We start from the raw sequence: 27,028 nt of genomic DNA on the forward strand, positions 1-27,028 counted from the left end.
CCTTGCATGTGTTCCCCAGGGTCTCCCGGGGGTCTCCTGCTCACCAGTTAAAGGCTTTCCTTCTCAGAGCTCATTGTCGGGAAGAGAAAGCCGGGCTCCTGGCTGGACCAGTGTCCTCATCCACGTGACGTTCCTGGAGCTGGACAGATCCCGGCTGAAATCTGGAGAGGGATTTGATAAATGCTCTAAACCCTCCCACTGTGTGCACTGGAGTTAATTTAAAAACCAGCTTCACAAACACACTCAGAGGCCTCAGAAGGAAAGCAGAGGGCAGGCAAGAGCCGAGGTCTGTGCCCTGACTCATCCTTCCCCCCCGGGGCGGGGACAAACGGCTCTGACATTTCCCGGGGCCGCAGCCCCCAGAGACAAACGAACGGATGGGCCGTGGCGGAGTCTCTGGAGGCGCCGGGGCAGCCTTGGATGGGGCTTGCTGGTCTTGGCCGGCCGTGCGCGGTGGAGGAGGGCTGGCGAGGCGGCAGCAGCCGTGTACTCGCCGTCTCCGAGGCCGTGGAGGAAGGGATTTCGTGTTTCTCCCTCTATGAACAGTCGGAGAATTTTCCTCCCATAAACAAAACAAACATGAGCCGAAGGGGCGGAGGCCCCAGGGGCAGGCTGGGTGGCCCTTTCTTTCAACCTCTCTGCATTTGTTTCTCCGGGGGCAGATTGTGGCAGCTTCTTAGAGCCCCAGAAAGCCGCCTGTGGGTGTCGTCATCTTGCTTGGTTAACCGAACACATTGCCTCTTGGTCCTAGCCAGGGCTCTGCTGTTCCTGGAGGAGCGGCTGTGGGCCAGCTAGACCCTTGTCCACAGAGGCGAGTGGCTCTGCAGAACATTCCACGGGGGTGGCAGAACAGGTGCCTCTTGGCATGGGCAGGCGGCATGGTGGGGTAGGCAGAGCCCCCGGGAGGGTCAGGAAGCAGCCACAGAGTTTTGAGCCACCCACCCACCCACCCACCAGCTTGCTGTGTGGCCTTCACCACGTCTTTCTCATCCCTGGGCCTTAGCCTCCCCATCTTTTGCTCCAGAAGTCGAGCTGGGTGATTTCTAGAGTCTCTACTCGCTGTTTGTTTTTGTGACCCGGGGAGGGGCAGCTGCGATGGTGGAGGGCACCCTTCTGAGGCCCCCTCCTCTCCCTGCCCTCTTTCTCTCCCCACATCTCTCTGATTTCCCCTTATTTCACTGACAAAGCTTAAAATCCCAGGGCTTTCTGTAGATAGTGGGGCTGCGGAAGACGGTGCCTGCCTCGGCTTGAAAACCAGGCCCAGAAAACACTGCCATCCATCACGTTCTCATTGTCACCTAGGAAGGCCCCAGAAGGTCAGCTTCCAATTGCCTCTCAGTACAGAGCGCGTTTGTGTTGCTTGGGGACTGACTGTCCTTTCACAGAACTTGTGGGAAAATACCTCTTCTCTTCTCCAGAAAAGGTGATGAGAAAGGTATTATTTAGAAGGTAGACAGGAAGGAGAAAGGTGGAGGCATATTCCACTCTATGAAAGGACGAGTATGGGATTGAAATATTTGTAAGCATGGGGCACATCCTATTAACAGTTGATGTCGGATATCTTGTCTGCTTTCAGGAAGGATTTGTGGCCGAGGTACAAGGGGTGGCTTTTGATATGAAAATGTGCATTGTGGCTCCCTGAATGAGGGGGGTGGGAGAGGGCTGGGATGGCCCCACTGGGCGGGGAGAGGAGCCTCTGGGAGCGACACCCGGGGAAGCTGTGAGGCGTGAAAGGGTGCTTTTAGGAAAGTCTGGATCAGACATGATGTTATAGGAAAAAATGCAGCGTCTAAGGAAACAGCGCGTGAATAGAGAGAAAGCCGAGAGACAGGGCAGGGAGGCAGAGAGGACATAAAGCAGATTGGCATTGGCAGCCAGGGGAAGGAGCTGCCTGGTGGCAGGGGCCACAGACTGGAGGGAGGATGGCAGAGGACACTCTGCTTCCCAGGGAAGGGCCCGGCCTGGGGCGGAAACTTGCAGAATGGCTGATGACACCAGTAGTTGGGCTTGCGCTCCTCAGAAGCATGAGGACAGGTGGTTCACAGTGTCACTGGCCCTGGGTCTGCACCTGGACCAAGTAAAGCATTACCTCAAGAAGCTTTCATGTGGGCCGGGTGCGGTGGCTCACGCAGTAGTTTGGGAGGCCGAGGAGGGTGGATCACAAGGTCAGGAGTTCGAGACCAGCCTGGTCAATATGGTGAAACCCCGTCTCTACTAAAAATACGAAAATTAGCCAGGTGTGGTGGTGCACACCTGTAGTCCCAGCTACTTGGGAGGCTGAGGCAGGAGAATCACTTGAACTCGGGAGGCGGAGGTTGCAGTGAGGTGAGATTGTGCCATTGCACTCCAGCCTGGGAGACAGGGCAAGACTCCATCTCAAAAAACAAACAAACAAACAAAAAAACCAAAAAAAAAAAAAAAACAAGCTTCCATGTGCACGGCGTGTCATCCCCTGCCTCCACCACCCAACTGGTGGGTGGAGGACAGATTCCACAGTAGGAAAAAGAGTCTCTGCCTGTTGGAAAGGGCTGAGAGGTACCATCTGCCACCTTTTTGTCCCCCTCATGTTGGAAGTGAAAAGGGACAGGTGCCCTATCTCAGGGCTGCAAGCAATTTCTAGAAACGCTCAAGAGCGTAGCTCATGGGGCCATGCCACGTGGCCTCAAATCCAGGCTCTCCCATTTTCCAGGTATGTGTGACCTTGGGCATGCTACTGACTCCCTCTGTGCCTCAGTTTCGTCACCTGTAAAAGGGGTATAATGTCAGTGTCTACCTCCAAGCAATGTGAGGATTAAGTGTGTGTGTTTTTAACAGCTTTATTGAGATATAATCCACATGCCTCATAATTCCCCCATTTAAAATATACAGTTCAGGCCGGGCGCGGTGGCTCACGCCTGTAATCCCAGCACTCTGTGAGGCCGAGGTGGGTGGATCAACTGAGGTCAGGAGTTCAAGACCAGCCTGGCCATGGTAAAACCCTGTCTCTACTAAAAATACAAAAAATTAACCGGGCGTGGTGGTGCGCACCTGTAGTCCCAGCTATCCGGGAGGCTGAGGCAGGAGAATCACTTGAACCCAGGAGTTTGCAGTGAGCTGAGATGGCGCCATTGCACTCCAGCCTGGACAACAAGGGCAAAACTCTGTCTAAAAAACAAAAACAGAAACAAAAACCGGTTCAGTGGTTTTCAGTATATTCAGAGTTGTACAACCATCACCATAATAGATTTTAGGACCCCAAAATAAAACCCATACCCATCAGCACTCAGTCCCCATTTCCTCCCACCCACCCCCTTTCCAGTGCTGAACAACCACCGCTCTACTTTCGGTCTGCCTGGATTTGCCTATTTTAGGCATTTCATAGAAATGAAATCATATAATATGTGACCTTTTATGTGTGGCTTCTTTCCCGTGACATAATACTCTCTAGGTCTATCCAGTCTCAAGGTTGTAGCATGTATCAGTACTTTATTCCTTTTCATTGCTGAGTAATATTCCATTGTAGAGATATATTGCATTTTGTGTATTCATTCACTGGATAAGGGACATTTTAGTTGTTTCCATTTCTTTGCCATTGAGAATAATACTTGCTATGAGTATTTGTGTGTGGACATGTGTTTTCATTTCTCTTGGGTATATGCCTAGAAGTGGAATAGCCAGGTCCTACATAACTTTGTTTAACTTTCTGAGGAACTGCTGGACTGTTTTTCAAAGTGGCTGTAACCATCTTATGTTCCCACCAGCAATGTATGCGGGTTCTGGTTTCTCCACATCCTTGCCAACACTTGTTATTATTTGTCTTTTTAAAAATGTATTATTTATTTATTTATTTATTTATTTTTCAGACAAAGCCTCACTCTTGTTCCTCAGGCTGGAGTGCAATGGTGCGATCTCGGCTCACTGCAACCTCTGCCTCCCGGGTTCAAGCAATTCTCCTGCCTCAGCCTCCTGAGTAGCTGGGATTACAGGCACACACCACCACTCCCAGCTAATTTTTGTATTTTAAGTAGAGACAGAGTTTCACCATGTTGGCCAGGCTGGTCTTGAACTCCTGACCTCAGGTGATCCACCTGCCTCGGCCTCCCAAAGTGCTGGGATTACAGGCGTGAGCCACCGTGCCTGGCTTATTTATTTATTTATTTATTTATTTATTTATTAGAAACAAGGTCTCTGTCACCCAGACTGGAGTGCAGTGGTGCAGTCATGGCTCACTGCAGCCTCAAACTCCTGGGCGTAAATGATCCTCCTGCTTCAGCCTCTCAAGTAGTTCAGACTATAAGCATGCTACACCACACCTGGCTAGGTTTTAAATTTTTTTGTAGAGACAGTCTCACTATATTGCCCAGGCTGGTCTCGAACTCCTGGCCTCAAGCAATCTTTCTGCTCTGGTCTCCTAAAGTATTGGGATTAAAGGCATGAGCCGCTGTGCCTGGCCTGGCCTTTTTTTATTTTAGCCGTCCTACTGAGTGTGATGTGGTGCTCATTGTGGTTTTGGTTTGCATTTCCCTGATGGCTAATGATGTTGAGCATCTTTTCACAGGCTTCCTGGCTATTTGTATACGTTCTTTTGAGATGTAACTATACAGATGTTTTGCCCAGTTTTAATTGACAAGTTAGTTCTTAGAAGTGCTTATCTGGCCGGGCGTGGTGGCTCACACCTGTAATCCCAGCACTTTGGGAGACCGAGGCGGGTGGATCACGAGGTCAGGAGTTCGAGACCATCCTAGCTAACATGGTGAAACCCCATCTCTATTAAAAATATTTTTAAAAAAATTAGCTGGGCATGGTGGCGGGCGCCTGTAGTCCCAGTTACTCAGGAGGCTAAGGCAGGAGAATGGCATGAACCCGGGAGGCAGAGCTTGCAGTGAGCCGAGATCATGCCACTGCACTCCAGCCTGGGTGACAGAGCGAGACTCCGTCTCAAAAAAAAAAAAAAAAAAGTGCCTGGAAGGAGTGCCTTGCCCATGGGAAATGCTGTGCAACTTACTATTAGGGAGAGTACCCAAGACTTGGCACATTGGGCTTCTCTCCCCCACGTTAAGGATTTTGGGGGCCCTGCATAAATGTCCAAGCGTGAGGGAACATGGTGACTTCACATTTTCTTTAGTTTTCTTCAAATAGTCCCCTACTTGGGGAGAGACTGCGATGGTTTCTCCCCCACACAGGTCATATTCCCACCTGACCCCTTCTGATTTGATTTCCCCCAAGTCCCTATGGTGGGGTGCACCTGCTGCCTACATCTGGCTGCCTTTGGTGATGACTTCAGTGCTGCTTAGTATCTGGATTCTGTTCATCTGCAAGCGCCCCCAAGAGGCTGCTGGTGGTAGTGTGGGTTGATGTGGGCAGAGTTGGTGGGGGTCCCAGGGAGTCCCCCCAGCCCCTTCCCAGCGTCATAGCGACATGGTCTGGGGCTTACATTACCCCCATGTTGTTTTTGTACAGCAGGAAGCTGCTTGCTACCCAGGTGGCCATTCGACTTCATATTAAGGTCTCCTTTCCATTTTCTTTTTGCTTAAAAATACTCAGGTTTTCACAAGAGTCACTTCAGTTCTTGGTGATTGAACTCAGCTCTGATTTGACCTCAGCATTTCAGGTACATTTTTGGCTCTTCTGGAGACAGAAAACCATCAGGGACCGCAAGGATTAAGCCTCAGGGTGAACATTATCCCAAGTGGTGGGACCAGGATGGAGGGCTTCCCCTGTCTCAATACAGGACTGTGTGGTGCGAGGAAAAAGAAGGAAGCGGATGGCCCTGTCGGGGGGAGAGCTGGATGTCATCATTAAAAATCCCTGCAGCCGCTTGTTCATGAAACCCCTCACTGGGGATGAAACTCCCATTTCCTCCCAAAGGATAGTTTTCTCCTTCTTTTCCTAGAGGCCGTGTACATTCAGGTTCAAGTTCCTTGTGACTTTCACTTCTTTTCCCCATGAACCAGCACGTCCCCGGCCGCTCCCTCTCCTTGATGTGCGGGGGTAGCTGATTTTTCCTTCCACAGTATAATATCTGGCAATTGCACCTCATCCTATTTTTGCTCTCCTCCCCCATCTTCTCTGTTCATCCGTGCCTGCCCAATGCGTGCTTCCCCGGTGATTTTTCCCACTCACCCCCGGTGCTCCTTTTCTCTCTGTGACCTCTTGGCAGTTCTGTGCATACGTAGGATTATTGTTATTCTGGCACTGTGATCACTGGCGCTCACTCACATGCTCTCTGCAGAGGCCCCGCTGCCTCTCCCCACATTTTTTGTGCCTGTGAGCCATGCAGCCATCCGTACCCTACTCCATAGGAATGTGGCCTGGAGGGTACCCCACCGGGTCAGCTGGTCAGCTGCACTAAGGCCCCAGCCCAGGGGTGGCAGCTCTGGTCAGTAACATGTTTGTCCCTGAGTGGAGTTGAACTGACTCCTTGGATGCCACAGCTGCCCTCCCACTTACAAAAAAGAGCCTCCCCACACACGTCCTTTTCTTCCCCAGGCAATCCCACACCTACTTCCTCAAATCAGTCCTCCTGTCACCTTTTCAGACCTCTTGTTATCTCAGCCACCTCCCCCAATACCCTCCAATCTGCCAGTGCCCTTCTTGATACAGGAGAGCTGGAATATGATCTGGTCAGTGCAGAGGGGATATTATCTTTCTCTGTACGCATTTGGGGTTCTAGGGAGTTCGTTTCTGAGTTACATTTTTTTTTTTTTTTTTGAGACGGAGTCTCGTTCTGTCGCCCAGGCTGGAGTGCAGTGGCGCAATCTCGGCTCACTGCAAGCTCCGCTTCCCGGGTTCACGCCATTCTCCTGCCTCAGCCTCCCAAGTAGCTGGGACTACAGGTGCCCGCCACCACACCCAGCTAATTTTTTGTATGTTTAAAGACGGGGTTTCACCGTGTTAGCCAGGATGGTCTCGATCTCCTGACCTCATGATCCGCCCGCCTCGGCCTCCCAAAGTGCTGGGATTACAGGCGTGAGCCACCACACCCAGCCCTCTGAGTTACATTTTTTGAAAGCAGCAACACTCCCCTAAACTCTAGAATCCTCTACAGTTTGGTTCATAACTAGCAAATGGTGACTTGAATGAGAGGCTTTGGGATTGGGGCAATGTCTTTATTTCCCAGTGCTCCTCTTAACCAGATTAAAGGGGTGCTGTGAAGTTTGACCTAGTGGAGGGGTGGGTCTCGGGAAGCATTAAACACCAAGCAGTGGTTGGGTTGTTAGGCATCGCCCAGCCCCTCATCTTGTGCTTTTGTTTCTGCTTAAACTATGTTCTTATTGTATTTTTCATGTGGCAAAGGCAATATCTATTTGGTGTAGAAAAATTATAAGATATAGATTAGGACAAAAAGAAGAAAACGCAAGTAACAGTTTATCCCACCAGCCAGAGTGACGATGTTAATACCCTGTGGTGTGTCTGTTGCCTGGTGGACCTTTTTCTATTTGCGTATGTTTCCACTATATGCAGTCATACTTCTTTTTACTTAATACATTGTTTCCATCTTTCCACTTTATTAAATAGTCGGCTTTGTAGTTTTGCATGGTTGCATAGTATTTGTATTGCATTTTGTGGGTGTACCATGACTCCGTTAATCAGGCATTTAAATTTGGACATTTTGCTGTTTTTCAGGTTTTTTCCACTCTAAGCTTTGTTGGGCTGAGTGCTCTTTTAAGTTGATCTTTGTGCCATTCTCAGTGTCCCCTTCAGATAAATTCCTAGATGTGCAACTGTACATCTTCAAGGAATAAGCACATGTTTAAGACTTTTGACGCGTTTGTATCTTGCTCTCCCCCAAGTCATACCAGTTTATAGAGTGTGAATTTTTTTTCTTTGTTTCCTCAGGTATATTGCATATTAATTACTCTAAAAAAACCTGTTGGCCAACTTGGAAGACAAAAAGTGATATTTGATTGTTTTCATTGATTTGTCTTTGATAATTAACAAGACAGGTTGAACATTTTTCACAAGTTTATATTTTGTGAATCACCTATGGGGGCGTTAATAAGTTTTCCAAAAAGATGAACTCCTTACATATGAAAGATAGTAACTTTCCGTCCATCTTTTGTCCTACAGGTATTTCTCCCAGGTTGTAATTGACTTTTTAAAATGTATGGTGCTTTTTGACATATAAAAGTTAAAGTTGCCGTCTATTAGATACGTATTTTACAGTTTTTACTTTCAGTATCATACTTCAGAAAGGCCTTCTTGATCCTAAGATTCCATAAATGTTCACTTACATTTTCTTCCAGTAATCTTTACGGTTTCACTTTTTACATGTACATATCTCAGTACATGCTGTGAAAGTCAAGTGTAACTATTGTTCTTCTCGGATGGTTAGCCAGTTGCTGCAGCACCACTTACTACCCAGTGTGTCATTTTCTCTCCATTTCCCACCCCCCATTTTGGGGGTTCTCATTGTGGACTTTCTGTTTGATTAAGTTTTCTCTTGGTTCCTATCACAGTTCTGATTCTTGTAGTCTCATGATACATTTTAGGATGTCTGGAGGCTTTGTAAGTGGTAAAACACCATGAAAAATGTGAAGGGTTATTCATGTTGTTGTACCAGATCTTTGAAAACACCGGGAGCGCTTACTGTCCTCGCTGGTGAGAGTAAGTCACCTGTTTTTTTTAGAGTTTTTCTTCAGGGATCCTGAAGTGATGCTGTCTTCTGAACCAGCAAATGCTCAGGTCTTCTTAGCAACCTTTGGCCTGTCCCCTGACCCCAACCATCACGCAGTGCCTGCCACCTAGGAAAGGCTGGGTCTGCGTCACCAGGTCCCTCTGTTCCATGACCACATCTCATAATCACATCCATTTTTCTTAAAAATCAGCAGCCTCACTCTTCTGACTCATGTTCTCTGACTTCTAGACGCTTTTCTTCCATAATTGGGTGTGCCGGGCACAATCCTTGTTTTTTCCTTCCAGAGGTGGGGAATTCAGGGTGGAAATGTGGCAGAGGACGTGGGGCTTCCTCGCTCTGTCCCTGGGCTGTTGCCATGACAGTCGGTTGGACAGACATGTCGTGGTGTGCCCTCCTCCCTCCGGCTTCTCTCCGGATTCCACTTCCTGAACTCTGAGCAGGCCTGTGGGTGGGAAGCCGGCTGGGTGGTCTGCCCAGACTTCCAAGAGATGCTTGGCCACACCTTGTGCAGGGCCTAATATGGGCTTGGGCCACACTCAGACCACACTCAGCTGTGCTTTCCTTTCCGACAGTGATGACGATGATGACAGTGACGAGGATGGGGGGCTCTGATGGTGAACTGGGAATCCTGCATAGGCCTCCTAGTGAGAAGTCACAGCTTAATTTACCGAGCACCTACCTACCTCATGCCATGTCATAGAGGATGACAGATGCTGTGGGGAGGTAAAAGGAACTCGTTTTGCAGTGCTTGTCCTTGCCTGGTCAGCCACGGCGGCAGAGTCAAGGGATTGAGCTCCCAAAACCCTGGGACATGACGGCATCGGTTTACACCCCGATCTGCCTCTGCTATGACACTTGGATGGATTGCTTAGCTTCTGTGTGCCTCAGTTTCCTCATCTGTAATATGAGGATAATGCTTCATAGAGTTGATGTGAGGATTAAATGAGTCGGCATGTGTGTGCATTTTACAGAGCCTGGCACATGCTACATGTTAGCAGTCACTCTTTGTTGTTGTTAGTGTGTATGTGTGTTTCTTTTGTATACTTCTAGCACGCGGGGAGCTCCATGAGGGCCTTTTATCCACCTTTTATTTTTTTAAGACAGAGTCTCACTCTGTCACCCAGGCTGGAGTGCAGTGGCACAATCATGGCTCACTGCAGCCTCAACCAGGTGGGCTCAAGCAGTCCTCCCACCCCAGTCTCCTGAGTAGCTGGGACTACAGATGCATGCCACCATGTTTGGCTAATTTTTTTTTTTTTTTGAGACGTAGTTTCACTCTTGTCGCCCAGGCAGGAGTGCAGTGGCACAATCTAGGCTGACCGTAACCTCCGCCTCCCGGGTTCAAGCAACTCTCCTGCCTCAGCCTCCCAGATAGGTGGGATTACAGGTGCTTGCCACCATGCCCAGGTAATTTTTTGTATTTTCAGTAGAGATGGGGTTTCACCATGTTGGGCAGGCTGGTCTTGAACTCCTGACCTCAGATGATCCGTCTTCCTAGGCCTCCCAAAGTGCTGGGATTACAGGTGTGAGCCACTGCACCTGGCTGATTGGCTAATTTTTAAAAATCTTTTTGTAGAGATGGGATCTCACCATGTTGCCCAGTCTGGAACCTATTTGAGGGTTATTTATTTATTTATTTAAGAGAGGAGGTCTCACTCTGTCACCCAGGCTGTAGTGCAGTGGTGCAATCATAGCTCACTGCAGCTTCAAACTCCTGGGCTGAAGCAATCCCTCCACCTCAGCCTCCCAAAGTGCTGAGATTACAGGCGTGAGCCACCATGCCCGGCTCTTTCATCTTTTTTTATATTCATGATCACGTGACCTTCTGCAGAGTGGATGCTCCATAAATGTGTATTAACTGATGATACTGATACGGGTTATTACCATCACTTACTGTGCTGGGCTCTTTATCACATTATCTGATTTAATCTTCGCAGTCTTTACATTAAATGTTTTGTCTGTTTTACAGATGAGAAACCTGAAGCTGAGGGAGCCTGAGGGACTTGTCAAAGGTTGTCTAGCTGACAAGGGGCAGGGCCAGGCATCGTCCCCAGCCAGCCTGATTGCAGAAGCAGAGTCAGGATGGCTGAATGAACGACGCATGGGGTGGAGACAAGAGAAATCCTTAAGAAAGAATTAGAGAACAACATAGCACTTAATGAATTGAATAGGATCATGAGCAGTGGGTGACCCAGACCTACCTCATTATCATTTGGTTTGCTAAGGAAATAAAAAGAGAGATAGGGCTGGGCGTGATGGCTCACGCCTGTAATCCCAGCACTTTGGGAGGCCAAGGCGGGTAGATCACCTGAGGTCAGGAGTTCGAGACCAGCCTGACCAACATAAAGAAACCCTGTCTCTACAAAAAATACAAAAAATTAGCCGGGCGTGGTGGCGCATGCCTGTAATCCCAGCTACTCGGGAGGCTGAGGCAGGAGAATCACTTGAACCTGGGAGGCGGAGGTTGCGGTGAGCCGAGATCGTGCCATTGCACTCCCAGCCTGGGTGACAAGAGCGAAACTCCATCTCAAGAAAAAAGAGAGAGAGAGAGAGAGATAAAGGGTATGGTAAGTTCTGGGCACATCAAAGGAGTTTGAATGCTGCATTTGGTCTCCTCAGGCTGATGCTCCTGTCTGGCCCCTTCTGCTCTGGCTCAGTGTGGCTGTTGGGGAAGGTTCTGGAAAAATTAGGGCTTCGCATTCAGCTCTGATGATGGGTAGGAGGGCTGTGGCTAAAGAGGAACAGGTGGGAATCAGCGGAGTCAAGCACAGATAGAGGGAACAAACCAGGTATACTGGGAGTCGTGGCCTTGAGGGCACCCCACTGTGGAAAGTTGCAGATATCAGCTCGAGGGGGCTGTATTTGGCTGACTTGGCAATGGGGAACCAGGATGGTGTTTGAATGAAGGACTCATGGGCTCATTTTCACTTCGAGGGGAGAAGGGAGGCTGGTAGCAGGGTACCACGTGTCTCATGCATATCCTGGAGAAGGCCTGAGATAGGGCAGCCGTGCATGGATCAGGGAGGCGGAGGGAGGCCCTAGGGACATGGGATCAGAGCAGTGGGCAGGAGTGAGATTGTGGTAGGGCCGGGGGGGGGCAGGACAGGGAGTTAGGATTTTATTCCAGGTGTAAAGGGAAGCTAAGGGGGTGTGTGTTGAGCTGGGTGGTGGCATGAACCTGCTATGTTTTAATAAGATTGTCCCGGTTGCTCTGCAGGAGGCAGGGGTAGAAGCTGGGAACAGCCAGGAGGCCTTGGAAGTTTTCAGGTGGGAGATGACGGGGGCTTGGCTGGAGGAGAGGTGGTGGTGAGAAGTGGCCCCCTGTGGGATCCGTGTGGAAGGCAGTGTCACCAGAACTAGGTGGGTTGTTTGTGGGAGCGAAAAGAAGGAAAGCAATGACCCGTGAGTCCTTCTCAAGGGTTTGTGTGACTGAGGAGCTTGGTGCCACTCATTAGAGGACACAGGTCCTGTGATGTAGGCTGGCACGATGGCTGCCTGGTCCCTCTTTGTAGCACTGGGGAGCGTGGTGCAGGCTGGAGTGAAGGACGGTTGGAGTGGTGGCAGGTGCAGAGAAGAGGCCAGGCTTTGCTGCTGAGGACCCCTGGACACACTCGGTGTCTACTGGGCACACTTGGTGTTAAAAGCCACAGTGGGCACAGGGGGCTGGAGAGGCAAGTGACCAGGTACCCCAGGCTTCCTGCAGCTCAGACGGGGGAACTAGAAAGTCCTCTGAGAAAACATGTGCCACCACCAATGATTCTACTGATGGGCCAGACATGAGCGGCTTGGGTTGGAGCTAATTCTAGGATGCAGGAAGAGAGAACTCAAGTTCCTCTAAAAGTATTCTAGGTTGGTCGGGCACAGTGATGCACGCCTGTAATCCCAGCACTTTGGGAGGCTGAGGTGGGTGGATCACCTGAGGTCGGGAGTTCGAGACCAGCCTGGCCAACATGGTGAAACCCCGTCTCTACTAAAAATAGAAAAATTAGCTGGGCATGGTGGCACACGCCTGTAATCCCAGCTACTCAGGAAGCTGAGGCAGGAGAATCCCTTGAACCTGGGAGGCAGAAGTTGCAGTGAGCCGAGATTGCGCCACTGCACTCCAGCCTGGGTGACAGAGCAAGACTCCGTCTCGAAAAATAAATAAATAAATAAATAAATAAATAATAATAATAAAGTGAGCTGGGTGTGGTGATGCATGCCTGTAATCCCAGCTACTTGGGAGGCTGAGGCAGGAGAATCTCTTGAACCCAGGAGGCGGAGGTTGCAGTGAGCTGAGATCATGCCACTGCATTGCAGCCTAGGCAACACAGTGAGACTCTGTCTCAAAAAAAAAAAAAAAAAAGTATCCCAGGCTGCCCCGACCTCTGCTCTTCCTGTGTTCCACCTGTGAAGCAGGGAGAGGTGTTGAGAGGTGGGTAATGATGATGATGCTTCTGGCAACCAGCCCTGGGCCAAGGGAGCCAGCTGGAGGGACAGAAATGGGGCTTCCCTAGCCCACAGCTGTGCTTGGCCCATGCACTTCTCCTTGTCCCGGTGCAAAGCAGTGAGACTGGCCCTCATCTTCTCCAGCGTGCCCCATTGTCTCACACTACCATTTTTGGACTCATTTTTTCTGTCTAAACTGAAGGCTGCACCTGGTCGTTTTCCTTGGATTCAAACTGTGAGAGGAAGACAACTCCAGGATCCTTGGTATACCGGGTCCCTGTGGTGTACCGAGGGAGACCCTTTGCCAATTCTGAGGGGTTCCTCTGGAATGCTCCCTCCTGGCTCCATTCTCAGGGCCGCCTGGCCAGCGTTCACCCAACCCGAGTGCAGAGTGTGGCAAAAATCAGAATCTTCATAAGATTTCCATGCACTGAGAGAACAAAAAGAAATGGTCCCTGGAGTGAAGCAAAAAGCCCATTCGCCATTTATCCCAAGTGCTGTGGAACAGAAGAAAGAGCATTTTTAAAATGAACCAAGGGGCCTGCAGCTCTTTCCCCAATGCTGCCCTGTGTAACCCAAGGCTGGGCCTGCGTTTCTTTGCTTGCAGCACTGGGGCTTGGCTCTGTGATCCCCGAGTCCCTCTCCGCGGTAACACTATCCAAGGCAGCGCTCACTTTCGTTGCCTCGGCCAGCAAAAAGAGAGGGCGAGATTAACACCCTCAATTACGTCTTTGCAGAACTCAGACCTGAGGAAATTGAAAAACACTCAAGCCAGCGTGGGACTGGGTTTAGAGGGGGTCTGCTGGGGACGCCATTCAGGGAATTGCTCTTTCCAAGGCTCCTGAGTGGCTGGGGAGGCTGGGCCTCCTCCAGCCTCATTAAAAGGTACTTTACCTGGAAGGCCCCAGAGCCCAGGTCCAAGCAGAGGGAACAGCTGAGGGGAGGTGGTGGAGCTGGAGCGGCTGAGCTGCTGAATTGTGAGTCTTCGTCTGGCTTCTGGTCTGAGTGCCTCTGCTCACTGGTCCTTCTTGTTTGCCTGATTGTTTTTCCTCTTGGGGAGGAGATGGTCCTTTTGAGCCCCAGCATTCTGAGTGACAGACTGAGTTTCATCCCATCAAAAGTTCTGTTCAGGCTAAAGCTTCTGTGTATGTCATAAGGAAAGTATAAATGAAATCAGGAATCTCCCCCAAAAGCATGTCACCCTCGGCGTCTGCCTCCCCTGAATCTCCGTTTGCTTCTCAGTTAAGGATGCCGTGTTTTCCATACTGTCACCTCCCGTGCCATTTGGAATGTGGATAACTCAGCATGCAAGAGAGTTCCACGCTCTCTCTGGACCTCCCGGCTGCCGTCTCCCCTTCTGCAGGTGTGAGCATGTGTGTGCAGCCATTGACTCCTGAGCCATCCTTCCTGTTTGGTGGTCCCAGACCTGGCAAGGTGTGGGAACGTGTGCAACTCGGGATTGATGAAATACAGAAAATCTCAGCCCAACAGAGTCTGAAAGCTGCGAGTTCACCAGGCCAGTGATGGTGTGTAGGCCTCTACCAGCCTCCCAGGCATTGGATCTGGAGGAAGGGGCCTTATCTGTGAGTGGCTTCTTGTTGGCATGTTGGTGATAAGGGACCCTGTGAAGTTATGTCTTGGTGCCTGAAAGCCATCGAGGGCTTGCTGGGACACGTGCAGGGGAGTCTGGTGACACCTGGGTCAGGGTAGTCAGTGGCTGTCTCGCTGTTTTCTACCTGTTGACAGCAGTCATCTCATAGGTGTGGGTTTCTCACCTTCCTGAGGCAGATGGTGAAGGGAGCAGGGCAGATTCTTTGCAGGAGGCTGGTATGGGTTTCACTCCAGCACCATGGGTCCTCAGGCCAGCTCTCTGTGTCCCTGCTCCTCCGCTGTCAGGTGGAAATCATCCTGAGGACTAAGGGAGGCGGCAGGAGTCCCGTGCCTTGCTCACAGGTGATAACTGCTCAGGGAATGATGCACCTGTTCCCTCCCTTTCCTGAGTACTGGGGGAGGTGATTAAAGATCAGGTGTGAGAGGCCCCGTGTCTGTCCTGCAGGAGTTCACAGTCTTCTTTGGAGACCTCTTTGTTCTCCAAAGCCCCACCTGGGGTGGCCAGCTGCCTCCTGGGCAGCCTTCCCCTGGGCACCCCTTAAACTCATCCACTCAGAGCCAGATATGTCTGTTCTTCCAGACCTGCCCTCACTCGGGGTTTCTTCCTTGGTCCTTGACGTCTCTTGGACACCCTAAACACCCCAGGGTCATCCCAGACAATTCCTTCTTCCTCACGTGCTGGTGTTCAGCCCCAGGTCTGAACCCCTCCAGTGGTTTCTTCCTCCTCTGTCATTACCCTACCCTGATTCAGGCCCTCAGCCCACATCTAAATGGTCTCCCAAGCTCCACACCATCTCCCCACCTTGCAACGCCTGGTGGCGTGATGGTTGTCCTTACCTATCACATGCATTCTCTCTTGATTCTCTGAGTCTCGAGTGCTTTATTCTCAAGTTGCTATTGAGGCCAGACTCTCCTACACCAGGGAGTTTGCTCTGTTCCCCCTCTGCCTAAGTCTGGGTTGTGTACACCCCTCGTCTGCACTTTCCCTAATTCTCTGTGTGTGTTCCAGTGATGGCCTCCTTGCTCTTTCTCCGCTCTGCCAGGCACACTCTTAACTCAGGGCCTTTGCACTGGCTGTTTCCTCTCCTGACAAGCATGCTACTCCTCCCTGTGTCTACATGGCTCACATCTTAACTTCTTTAAGTTCTTTACCTTCATGTCATTGACTCAACAAGGGCTCCGTGATCACCCTGTAGAAAACCATAACACCTTTTCCAACACTCAGCATACCCTTTCCTCCCTCCTGCCTGATTTTTCTTCATGACACTTAGCATCCTCTTATATACTCTATGGTCTCCTAATGCGCTGTGTTCATTGTTTCTCTTCAATCACGAGAAACAGGGATTTTTGTCTGTTTTGTTCATTGCCACATCCCCTGTGCCTGGCGCATAGGCTTTTGAGAAATATTTGCTGAATGAATGAATGAATGAATGAAGTGCATCCTATGTATCCTATTCTTAAATGGTCCATTTTGGCCTCTCCTCCACTAGCCTCTGCCCTGCTTGAGGGCTGGGCTGTGCTCGGTTTGTCTGTGTTTCGGCCATGGTATTCCCTTGATGCTTTTTTTTTTTTTTTTTGAGGTGAAGTCTTGCTCTGTTGCCCAGGCTACTATGCAATGGTGTGATATTAGCTCACTGCAACCTCTGCTTTCTGGGCTCAAGCGATTCTTCTGCCTCAGCCTCCCAAGTAACTGGGATTACAGGCATGCACCTCCACGCCTGGCTAATTTTTTGTATTTTTAGTAGAGACAGGGTTTCGCCATGCTGGCCCTTGATGCTTTTTTTTATTATTATCATTTTTAAGACGGAGTCTTGCTCTGTTGCCCAGGCTGGAGTGCAGTAGCATGATCTCGACTCACTGCAACCTCTGCCTCCTAGGTTCAAGCAATTCTCTGCCTCAACCTCCCTAATAGCCGGGACTACAGGCGCCCGCAACCACGCCCGGCTAATTTTTTGTATTTTTTTTTTTTTTTGGTAGAAACTGGGTTTCACTGTGTTAGCCAGGCCCCTTGATGCCCATTTGATGAATGACTGGTGGTCTCAGCCTCTGTTTCAATACTCTGTCCGCGCAGGAGTTAGACCATGTCACTTTGGCCTCTGAAAGGCTAGATTCCTGGGTGGTTTCTCCAGAGCACTCATCCAGTCCCTCGTCACCTGGCCGTGGCCTGAGCACCTTCTCCTCTACCCATCACACTCACACTCTGGGCTCATTCTCCTGTCACTCTGTCCACTAACAAGCCATGTACTTTCATGAACATTACACGTTTCCACCTCCAAACCTTTGTTCCTGCTGTTCCGCCTGCCAGGAATGTCCTCACTCCTGACATCCTGGAAAACTCCTATGCATCTCACACTAGCTTTGAACCTTCTACCCAGCGCACACCTTGTACATCCGTCTTCTCTAGCAGGGACCTACTCCCTTTCTCATGCCTACTCCTTTGCTAGAATATGAACTTTTCACGTGCAGCTGCCACACCCTGTTCATCTTTGTGCCCTTTAATCCTAGCACTGTGTCTGGCATGAGGCTGTCCTGGATGTTTAATAAATCAGCAAGGAAAAGAATGACACGTCCGGCCAGGCGCAGTGGCTCACGCCTGTAACCCCACCACTTTGGGGGGCTGAGGCAGGCGGATCACCTGAGGTTGGGAGTTCAAGACCAGCCTGACCAACATGGAGAAACCCTGTCTCAACTAAAAACACAAAATTAGCCAGGTGCAGTGACACATGCCTGTAATCCCAGTTACTCAGGAGGCTGAGGCAGGAGATTCACTTGAACCCAGGAGGTGGAGATTGTGGTGAGCCCAGATTGCACCATTGCACTCTAGCCTGGGCAACAAGAGAGAAACTCTGTTTCAAAAAAGAAAAAGAATGACACGTCCACACTGATAATACCAAATTCCCTTTAACTGAGGGTCAAAATGAGCTGAGTGTGGCCCAGCCTGACTCCAGGAATATCTGAAATGCTGTTGGTTAAGCATTCTGGCCAAAACCTTCCACGGACTGTAGACGCTCACAACCTGGGATGAGGTCTCCTCCCCTCCACCTTAACGGCTGACCACACCTTCACCCAGTGCGAGCCACCGAGAGCCCTGCCAGCTTCTAAGCCTGGGCAACTATCTAGTCCTTCTCCTTTCCCTGTCAGGGATCTCTGACACTGCATGTTGCCAGCTGCTCCTGGGGGAGTCTGACGGATGCCACCACCGCCTTGGTCTGTTAAGAATCTACTGGAGGCCTCAGGGAAAGCAGCTCCAGGCTTCCGGAGAGGTAGTTTGGCTGTGGTTCTCACTCACAGGACCTGTTGTGCCAAGACCAGGAGGTCAGGTGCTCGCCTAAGGGCTTGCCGAGGAAGGATCTGGGCAGCCCAGCAGGAGCAGGGCCATCTCTCCTCCTTGCTCCCAGGCGACTTGCTGTGTTTGAGCTGGGGCCTTAGGTTTACTCAGCAGGTGGTGTCTACACCTGTAACGACCATGCAGGGCTGGGAGCCAGGGCGCATGCTTAATTCTTGTCCTGGCTGGAAAGCAAGTTGGCCGTGGTCTTCCATTCTGTGCAGGGACCTTCTCATTGAATTTTTTTTTTTTTTTTTTTTGAGACAGAGTCTTGCTCTGTCGCCAGGCTGGAGTGTAGTGGCACAATCTCGGCTCACTGCAACCTCCACCTCCCGGGTTCAAGCGATTCTCCTGCCTCAGCCTCTTGAGTAGCTGAGATTACAGGTGCGCACCACCATGCCCAGCTAATTTTTTTTTTTTTTTTTTTTGTATTTTAGTAGAGACAGGGTTTCACCATGTTGGCCAGGATGGTCTTGATTTCCTAACCTTGTGATTTGCCTGCCTTGGCCTCCCAAAGTGCTGAGATTACAGGCATGAGCCACTGGGCCTAGCCTTTTTTTTTTTTTTTTTTTTTTTGAGACAGAGTCTCACTCTGTCTCCCGGGCTGAAGTGCAGTGATGTGATCTCAGCTCACTGCAACCTCTGCCTCCCGAGTTCAAGCAATTCTCCTGCCTCAGCCTCCCAAGTAGCTGGGATTACAGGCACCTGCCACTATGCACAGCTAATTTTTTGTATTTTTAGTAGAGACGAGGTTTCACCATGTTGGCCGGCTGGTCTTGAACTCCTGACCTTGTGATCTGCCCGCCTCAGCCTCCCAAAGTGCTGGGATTACAGGCATGAGCCACCACACCTGGCCCTCATTGAATGTTTAAAAGCCCCACTCATCTCATAAACAGGATTCCCTTAGAATATGTTTGCCAGGACCCCTTTGTTCCTGGGGCCAATAACAGCTGTCCTCTTTCCCCCAGATGACTGATTTCTTGCCAACCCCTCTTAGTGATAACTGGGTGCTCACCCTCTCTCCCCCCAGAGCACTCCCTCCGGTTTCTGTGCCCGGCTGGGGTTGCAGCTGCCTCTCTCTGGACCTCACTGGAAAATCAGGGATTGACTAGATTGGGAGCATGGTCCTTGTATATTAGAATCACCTGGAACTTTAACAGAACTACTCACGTCAGGGCCTCTCTCCACACTAATTAATCAGAGTCTCTGGGGTGGGGACCACACTTTTTAAAAAGCTTTCCAAGTAAGTCTAACATGCAGCCGGGGCAGAGAACCATGAGAATAGACAGTCTTTCTGCTCTGGGCGGCCCTGAGCTTTCAGGGGTTCCAAATGTTCAGGGCCCAGATGCTGGCTGCTCATTGCCCTGTGGGACCCTTCTAGGTGCGAAGTGAACATGCAGAGACAGTCAGTGCATCACAGAGCCCGCTGAGTTTAAGCCTCAGGCCTGGGGTCTTTCCATGGCTGTTGTTTTCTAGGTATTTGCAGACTGGAAATGAACCTACCAGGACTTCTCAATAAAGCGTCTTCCTCCTGCCCTGCTTTTGGTTCTGGGTCCTGAGAAAGGTGAGAAAGCTTATTCCAGAACTCAATAGTCTTGTTTGGGAGGCCTGTCCCTGAGTTCCAGACCCAGGGGGTGCTGCCTCCTGAATGGACACCCCCATTGTCATGCAGCTGACACCTCCAACCCCCATACCCAGACCAAATTCTCCGAGTGCTGTACCTGGACACGGGTGTCCCCATCCACACCGAGGGCCCGGTAAGGCACATTGTCCCCCAGCCCCTGATGCTCCCGGCCCATCCTCCCTTCTCTACCCCATTCCTTTGTCTTTGCTCACCTTGCCAGTTCTTCCCATCTCCTGTCTGGGCTGCCCTTTACTGGCTACAGGAGGGTCACTGTTCTGCTGGAAAGTGTCTGAGAGCAGCTGCCACCTGGGTCTGAATGTGTCCCCCAGACCCAACACCTCTTTGCACAGTCCTGAACCTGTGTCTGGCTCTTGCTTCCCCTGCAGCCATCCTGCCAACCAGACCACACTAACGTTGTTCTCATGCACGGCTTCCTCTGGCCTCTGAGCCTTTGGACGTCCTTCCCCCTATTCTCGGGTTGTCTCCTGTTCCCAGCAATAGTTCATTCGCCACTGTCGGGGTCAACCACTTAGTCCTCTTGACCATGAGACTCTCCTAAGTTCTGAATGCAGAGGATTGGCTGAGATCCACGCTTCTTGGAGCCCATTGGCTTCCCCTTGAATTGTCACGATGGCCCAGCACTGTTGGGTTCAGCTGGTGTGTGGAGCCTCTGCTTTTTCTGTAGAGACTGGACTCTTACTTCTTCTAAGCTGTTGTCTCATCTCCAGGTTGAGGTTCTAGGGCTCCCTGGAGTAGGCCTGGTGGGGCACTTGTCCTTAGAGCCCTTTCCTGGCAATCTGTTCTGGCTTCCAGCATTCCAGGGCATTGGAAGGGGCATTTAGGAGACCAGGGTTCTAGCCCTGAGTCCACCATTCACTCCCTGAGCTCCTCTTCACACATGTCGACTGAGCACAGCCCATACTCAGAGGGCAGCATGAACACTGCCACCCCAAACGTGTCTGTGTGCGCACGCTCACTCATACATGTGTGCACGTGCCTACTCAAACTCGACACCCATCCTCCTCACTCCCGCCTGGGAAGCTCTAAGCCCATTTCCTCGTGTCCCCCTGGTGCGATGACTCAGGCTGCTTTCTGGAATCTTCCTAGAGTCAGTCCCCACTCAGGGGAAACTGAGTCACAGCTTGACAAGAGTGGGCAGGAAATGCTCCAGCAACAGGCCAGCAGCTAGGGGCAGCAGAGCAAATGCTGCCCTGCACACCTCAGTCTTTACAAAACCAAACCAAACGGAGCCTAGCTTTACTTTATTCTGAAGTGGTTCAGAGTAGACGATAATAACACTGTTAAGAAAAGAGTATAGTGTGGCTGAGTGTGGTGGCTCACGCCTGTAATCCCAGCATTTTGGGAGGCCAAGGCAGGTGGATCACCTGAGGTCAGGAGTTCTAGACCAGCCTGGCCAACATGGTGAAACCCCGTCTCTACTAAAACAAATACAAAAATTAGCCAGGCATAGTGGCATGCGCCTGTAATCCTAGCTACTCAGGAGGCTGAGGGAGGAGAATTGCTTGAACCCGGGAGGCAGAGGCTGCAGTGAGCCAAGATTGCACCACTGCACTCCAGCCTGGGCAACAGAGCAAGACTCTGTCTCAAAAAGAAACAAACAAAAAAAGAAAAAAAAGAAAAAAGAGCATAGTGTAACAAACGCCTGTGTGCCAGCTCCTAGCTTTATCAGATTGTAACATGATACTTTCTCTGTGTGTGTGCGCTTCATCCTTTTATTATTTTTTTGAAGAAATTGGTCTTTATGAATTCCTCCTCCCTGCCCTAGCCTTGCAAGCTGGGAACACACACTGTGGAGAGGACCAGAGGTCAAGCCCTCACCTCTCCTCCTGCCACAATTTCAGGCTCTTCGCAGTCGGAGCCTGTTCAGACCTTTCCTTCCTCACTCCTGCCCAGCTCCTTCCTCGTGGCAGAAAGAGGGAAGGCCTTGACAGTCAGCCCCCATCACTTCAGCGCACAAAAAGGGGTGTGTGTGGATTGTTGAGAAAAATACAGAAGTTGACTCCTCTCTCAGGATTCCTGGTGGTGTTCTCAATTTTTCCTATGCCATTTTCTTGGCCTGGAATTTCATTTTCTCCCCTCCTCCACACACCCTGCTCCTATCTATGCTTTAAGACCTGGCTCAAATGACCCCTCCTCCATGAAGACCTCTCTGATGGCTGGCTTAGAAATAGTCTCTGCATTTCATCCTATGTTGTCAGTGCCTGGAATTTGAGTTTTGTTCATGCATCGTCTCCCACTCCTACCAGGCTGCAAACTCCCGGGGACTAGCGACCATGTCTCCTGTTTGTTCTGTATTCCCACCCCCACCCCATGCCAGTAATGATGCGAAGCTGGTGGGCAGTGACTGTCTGCTGAGCGAATATTTGATTCCTGAGGTGTCCCCAGTACCTAGAACAGAACTGGCATGGGGTGGACACTCAGTGAAGATTGTGGCGTGAATGAATGAACCAATGAACAGAGCACAGAGTGCCCTATCCGTGGAGGGGGGCATGTGTCTCTACCTGTAAGAGTTGACCGGCGGCCTGGCACAATGGCTCACGCCTGTAATCCCAGCACTTTGGGAGGCCAAGGTGGGTGGATCACCTGAGGTCAGGAGTTCGAGACCAGCCTGGCCAACATGGTGAAACCCTGTCTCTACTAAAAATACAAAAAATTAGCTGAGTGTGATGGCAGGCACCTGTAATCCCAGCTACTTGGGAGGCTGAGGCAGGAGAATCGCTTGAACCTGGGAGGTGGAGGTTTCAGTGAGCCGAGATCGCGCCACTGCACTCCAGTCTAGGTGACAGAGCAAGACTCCATCTCAAAAAAAAAAAAATAAAACTGTTGACGGGCATCTTGGGTACTTCCGGCATTTCCGGCCTTCCCGGCTGGACTTGGTGTTTTCCCTGTGCCTGATTTCAGGAATGAGGTGGATGTTTCGGGATGGCCAGGCCAGGGCCCACGTGCCTGCAGTGAGCTCAGGGCGGGCTCTATCAAAATCCCGCTGGTCCAGTCCTGAAGTGCAGTGGGCAACCAGATGTGCTCCACCTCCCTCCCCAGCCCAGCCTTCCCTGTCCCACCATGAGGTGAGAGCGGGCCTCTGAAGCCACAGGGCCTGCTGGTTTGCAAGAATCCCCGGCGTGTCTTTTTTCCAGTGAGTGACTTTTAAGTTGTCTTCAGAATGATTGCTCAACTTGAAAACCCCCTGGGCGGGTGTCTGGGGTGGTTTGGATCATTGCGCAGCATTTCATTCCTTTCCCCAAATTGCTCATTATTTCATTTGCATAAATTTTAGTGGTGAGATACCGCCCCAGGCCTAGGAAGCTCAAATAGACCTCATAATGGGGCATCAGAGACAAGTGGTGGGGGCCCCGTCTGGCCAGATCACGTGTCTGCGATGTTCTCAGGCTGTGTCCTGGCAGGAGCGGGCTTGGAAGGAGGACAACAATGTGCTACTTCCAGGGGGTAGGTGTCCTGCAGGGCTCGGTGGCTGGACCCCAGACGCTGCCTCTCCCTGACCTCAACCTGTCCCCCCACTCTCCGCACACTGTCACCAAGTGCCCTGCGTGGATGGGAGATGGAAGCCAGACAGAGCCTCATTCCCAGCTGGGCTCTGGCATCTCCTTGTCCATCAATCCGTCTGCACCTACTTATTGGGTGTGCTGACAGCCGCGTGCCGGGTACCGCGATGAGGCAGGGGTGGGGCAGACAGGGGAGTCAAAGACTGGAGGAGATAAGGCCAGGCAGCTGTGTTAGGTACCAGGGAGGGGCAGAGCTGTCAGGGCTGGGGAGTGGGGGATTGGTGAACCTGGGACCTGTGGGCTGAAAATGGGGGCTTGAAGAGAGTCTTGGTTGGTCAGGACCCCTCTAGGGCTGACCTTCCCACAAGGTGGCTCAGGGTCACCAGTCCCCTTGGTACTCTGGCTGCTGGGTGGTTGGGGCAGTGAGCAGATGCATCCAGGGCTCAAGTCCCCTCCGATATCCCTGAATGTGCTTTTCACCTAAGACCATTTTCCAGTGTGGCGTGTGGTGGAGGCTGGGAAGGCCATCCTGGGGCAAGTCTCTGGACACCATGGAGGAGGGGATTTAGCTAAAAGGTCTTCGGGGGACAGGGACTAAGTAGGCAAGGCCCAAGCATAGTCTTTCGTGGAGGGGCTCATGGGGGTGATGCCAGTCAGGGGATTGGGAAGGTTGTGGGGGCCTTGAATGCTGAGCTTAGGAATCGAGACATGTCCTTTAGGCTCTGTGGAGCTAGGGCAGCTTTCTGATCAGACAATAAATGAGGTGCTTTAGGCCTGTTGACCCGCTGTGGAGCAGGTACCGGAGGGCCAGGCCTGACGCCATGGGGGTGTAAAGTGGGCAGAATGAGGGCAGAGGGAGACCCTAACAGGAAGTCATACCTGGCACCTTCCCTCACCTTCATTGGCTCCTTCTGAGGCAATGCACCAAGCAAAACCATATTTCACTGAATCCTGGCATGGTCCAGGGACAGAGCTTGCTGGGACCCACAGGCTTCAGTTCCAAGAGAAGGAGTCCACGCTGCCCTCTCAGGCTCCAGTTTTCCAATGATTTCCTCATCATCTCCAGAAACTCAGTTAATATAATGCCTCTCAGTGTTTACTGAGAGCCTCCTGTGAGCCAAGCTTGCTTTTAAGTTCAGTGAGAGAATAGGAGAGAAAGAAGACATCACCCTCGTCCTCAGGGACTAACCATAACTATATGCAGTGCAATTTACATTAAACATTTTTGGGCTGTGACTCACAGTAAAAATGTATTTACCATTATGAATTATTATCTAGTACATCCATCTACCTACCTACCTACTCACTTATCCATCTACACCTATCCATCCTTCCATCATCTGTTCATCCATCCATTCATTCAGCCATCTATCCATCGATTCCTCCATCATTTATTCATTCATCCATTCATCCATCATCCATCCATTCATCCATCATCCATCCATCCATCTGTCCATCATCCATTCATTCATCCATCTATCCAAAATAAAAGTTCAATCAACCCTTACTCTGTGGTCCACTCTTATACTTTCAGTTTGCTTCTATTTTTTTTTTAATGCTGTCCACGATTCACTAAACTGGTCTCATGACCTGCTAATGAGTTGTTAGCTGCAGTTTAATAAGTGATGGCCACTCTGAAGAGTTGAAGCCAGCATACATACACTCCTTGTTAGATTGTCTAGGAGAGCTGTGTTCTCCTGAAAGACCGTCGGGTGGTGTGAGCTGTGTGTGCTCTGGGCCACCAGGAAAGGTGGAGGTCATTGTGAGGACTGTGGCGCAGAGCAGGAGCTCTGAAGTAAGAATGGTGTTACCTGCAGTGCAGTCTCTGCACCCCCTGCCCTGGTGCTGTGGCAGAACGGGTGCTTTGCCTCTGAAAACAACAGAAGGAAAGCACAGGCTGAACTCGTTGAAAAATAAAAACATAAACTTGAAATAAAAAAATGCATCTCTGAGCTGGCATTTGTTGAGTTCCCCAGAGTGAAAGCAGTGTTCATGGAGGTGAACAAGCACCAGAGCCAGATGTGTGTGTGCAGGTGTGGGTCAGACCCCTATGACAGTGAGCCCCTGTTTGACAGCTTGTGGGACTCAGGAGGCCAGAGGTAAAGGCAGGGCTTCCCCCATCCCCAGTGAAAAGTCCAACAGGAGTTGGCCACGCAAAATGTAAACCCTAAAGCACTGCACTCTCAATGTAAGGGCCAGTGAGAAATGAACCTGTCATGTAGGAGGGGAGAGTGAAGAGACCAGTGTGTTCTGACCTTTGTCCTGCACAGGAGGGAAAAGGTCGTCTCTCCCTAGAATTCATTACCACCGGCCAGCTCTCAGGCAGGCTGAAAACCCACATTTGTGACCCCTGTGCCAGTCTAAGATGATGGTGACTTGGACTAGGGAAAGAAGTAGCAAGATTTGGGAGAGAATTAAAAGTAAGAGCACTTGGTGATGGATTGATTAGGTAATGGGGTCAGGGGAGTGGGCGGTGACAGTGGTGACTGGATTTCCAGCTTGCACGTGTGGGTAGATGAAAGCATCATTTCCTGGAAGACAACTGGATTTGGGAGGGAATATCATGGCTTTGATCTTAGACACCATTAAGTTTGAAGTGCTTTTGAGCAATCTGAGATGTGGGGTGGGCGGTTGGATAGACACGTCAGAAGCTCAAAGAAGATGTGGGGACTAGAGATATATATTTGGGAGTCATTTCCCCCCGAGAAGACAGATCATTGAATTGGGGGAGATTACCAAGGGAGATAGCGAAGTAAGAGGAGAGAAGGCCCAAGTGCAGCTGGAAGAACGCCAGCTTTAATGAGGGGGGGGAGAAGGGCAAGCATGAAAGGGAGGCAGCCCTGGAGGAGGAAAACCAGGCATATGTGCTGCCAGGAAAGTCAAAGGAAGAGAGGGCTGTGGAAGAGATGCGGTGAACTCCGTCAAGCCTGCCGAGGGGCCTAGTGAGAGAGGTGGATCCAACATGAGTTGGATTTTGCAATATGGCAGACTTAGGTGGCCTTAGCGTGGGCGTCCTGGTGGGATAACAGGGCAAAGAAGATGCAGCAGAGTGGACGGAAAAGTGAGTGGGAGGCAGCACCATGGAAGCTGGGGAGAGACAGTACCTAGGGAGATGTGGGGTTGGAGGAGGGCTTGCAGAGAGGGGAGCAGTCTGAGCATGTTAACTAGGATAGGAGTTGGGATGAAAGGGGACAAGAGGAAGAGGCTGTGTGTGTGAGAGAGAAGGGAAAGGTGACGGTTTATGTTTCCTGAAGAGGCAAGAGGGAGTCGGATCCAAAACACAGTTGGGGCTGGGCACAGTGGCTCATGCTTGTAATCCCAGCACTTTGGGAAGCTGAGGCGGGTGGATCACTTGAGGTCAGGAGTTGGAGATCAGCCTGGCCAACATGGTGAAACCCTGTCTCTACTAAAACTACAAAAATTAGCTGGGCGTACTCAGGAGTTCGAGACCAGCCTGGCCAACTTGGTGAAACCCTGTCTCTACTAAAAATACAAAAAATTAGCAGGCGCCTGTAATCCCAGCTACTCAGGAGGCTGAGGCAGGAGAATCGCATGAACCCGGGAGGCGGAGCTTGCAGTGAGCCGAGATCGTGCCACTGCACTCCAGGCTGGGCGACAGAGCGAGACTCCATCTCAAAAAAAGTAAAATTAGCTGGGCATGGTGGCGGGCCCCTGTAATCCCAGCTACTCGAGAGGCTGAGGTGGGAGAATCACTTGAACCTGGGAGGCGGAGGTTGCAGTGAGTTGAGATCGTGCCATTGCACTCCAGCCTGGACAATAGAATAAGATTTCATCTCAAAAAGAAAAAAAAAAAAAGAAAAAAACCAAACAGTTGGGGGAATGGGCCTAGATCGGGGAAGAAAGGTGAACTGCCAGACAAGATGTACAACCTCCTGCACATC

General features: G+C 50.8%; 1 protein-coding gene across 3 annotated transcripts in view, besides 1 other annotated feature; it reads left to right on the top strand.

Moving 5' to 3' along the window:
* NTN1 (netrin 1) overlaps positions 1 to 27,028 on the top strand; it is a 240,914-nt gene that overhangs the window by 112,279 nt on the left and 101,607 nt on the right. The window lies entirely within an intron of this gene.
* Positions 22,897 to 23,605: an enhancer, noted in NCBI's record as "H3K4me1 hESC enhancer chr17:9041579-9042287 (GRCh37/hg19 assembly coordinates)". NCBI's record gives its function as "activates a minimal SCP1, AML or CMV promoter by ChIP-STARR-seq in naive and primed H9 embryonic stem cells {active_cell/tissue: H9 hESC(naive and primed)}" and the evidence as "EXISTENCE:reporter gene assay evidence [ECO:0000049][PMID:30033119]".

Source organism: Homo sapiens, chromosome 17 (genome assembly GCF_000001405.40).
Source record: "Homo sapiens chromosome 17, GRCh38.p14 Primary Assembly".
Lineage (NCBI taxonomy): Eukaryota > Metazoa > Chordata > Mammalia > Primates > Hominidae > Homo > Homo sapiens.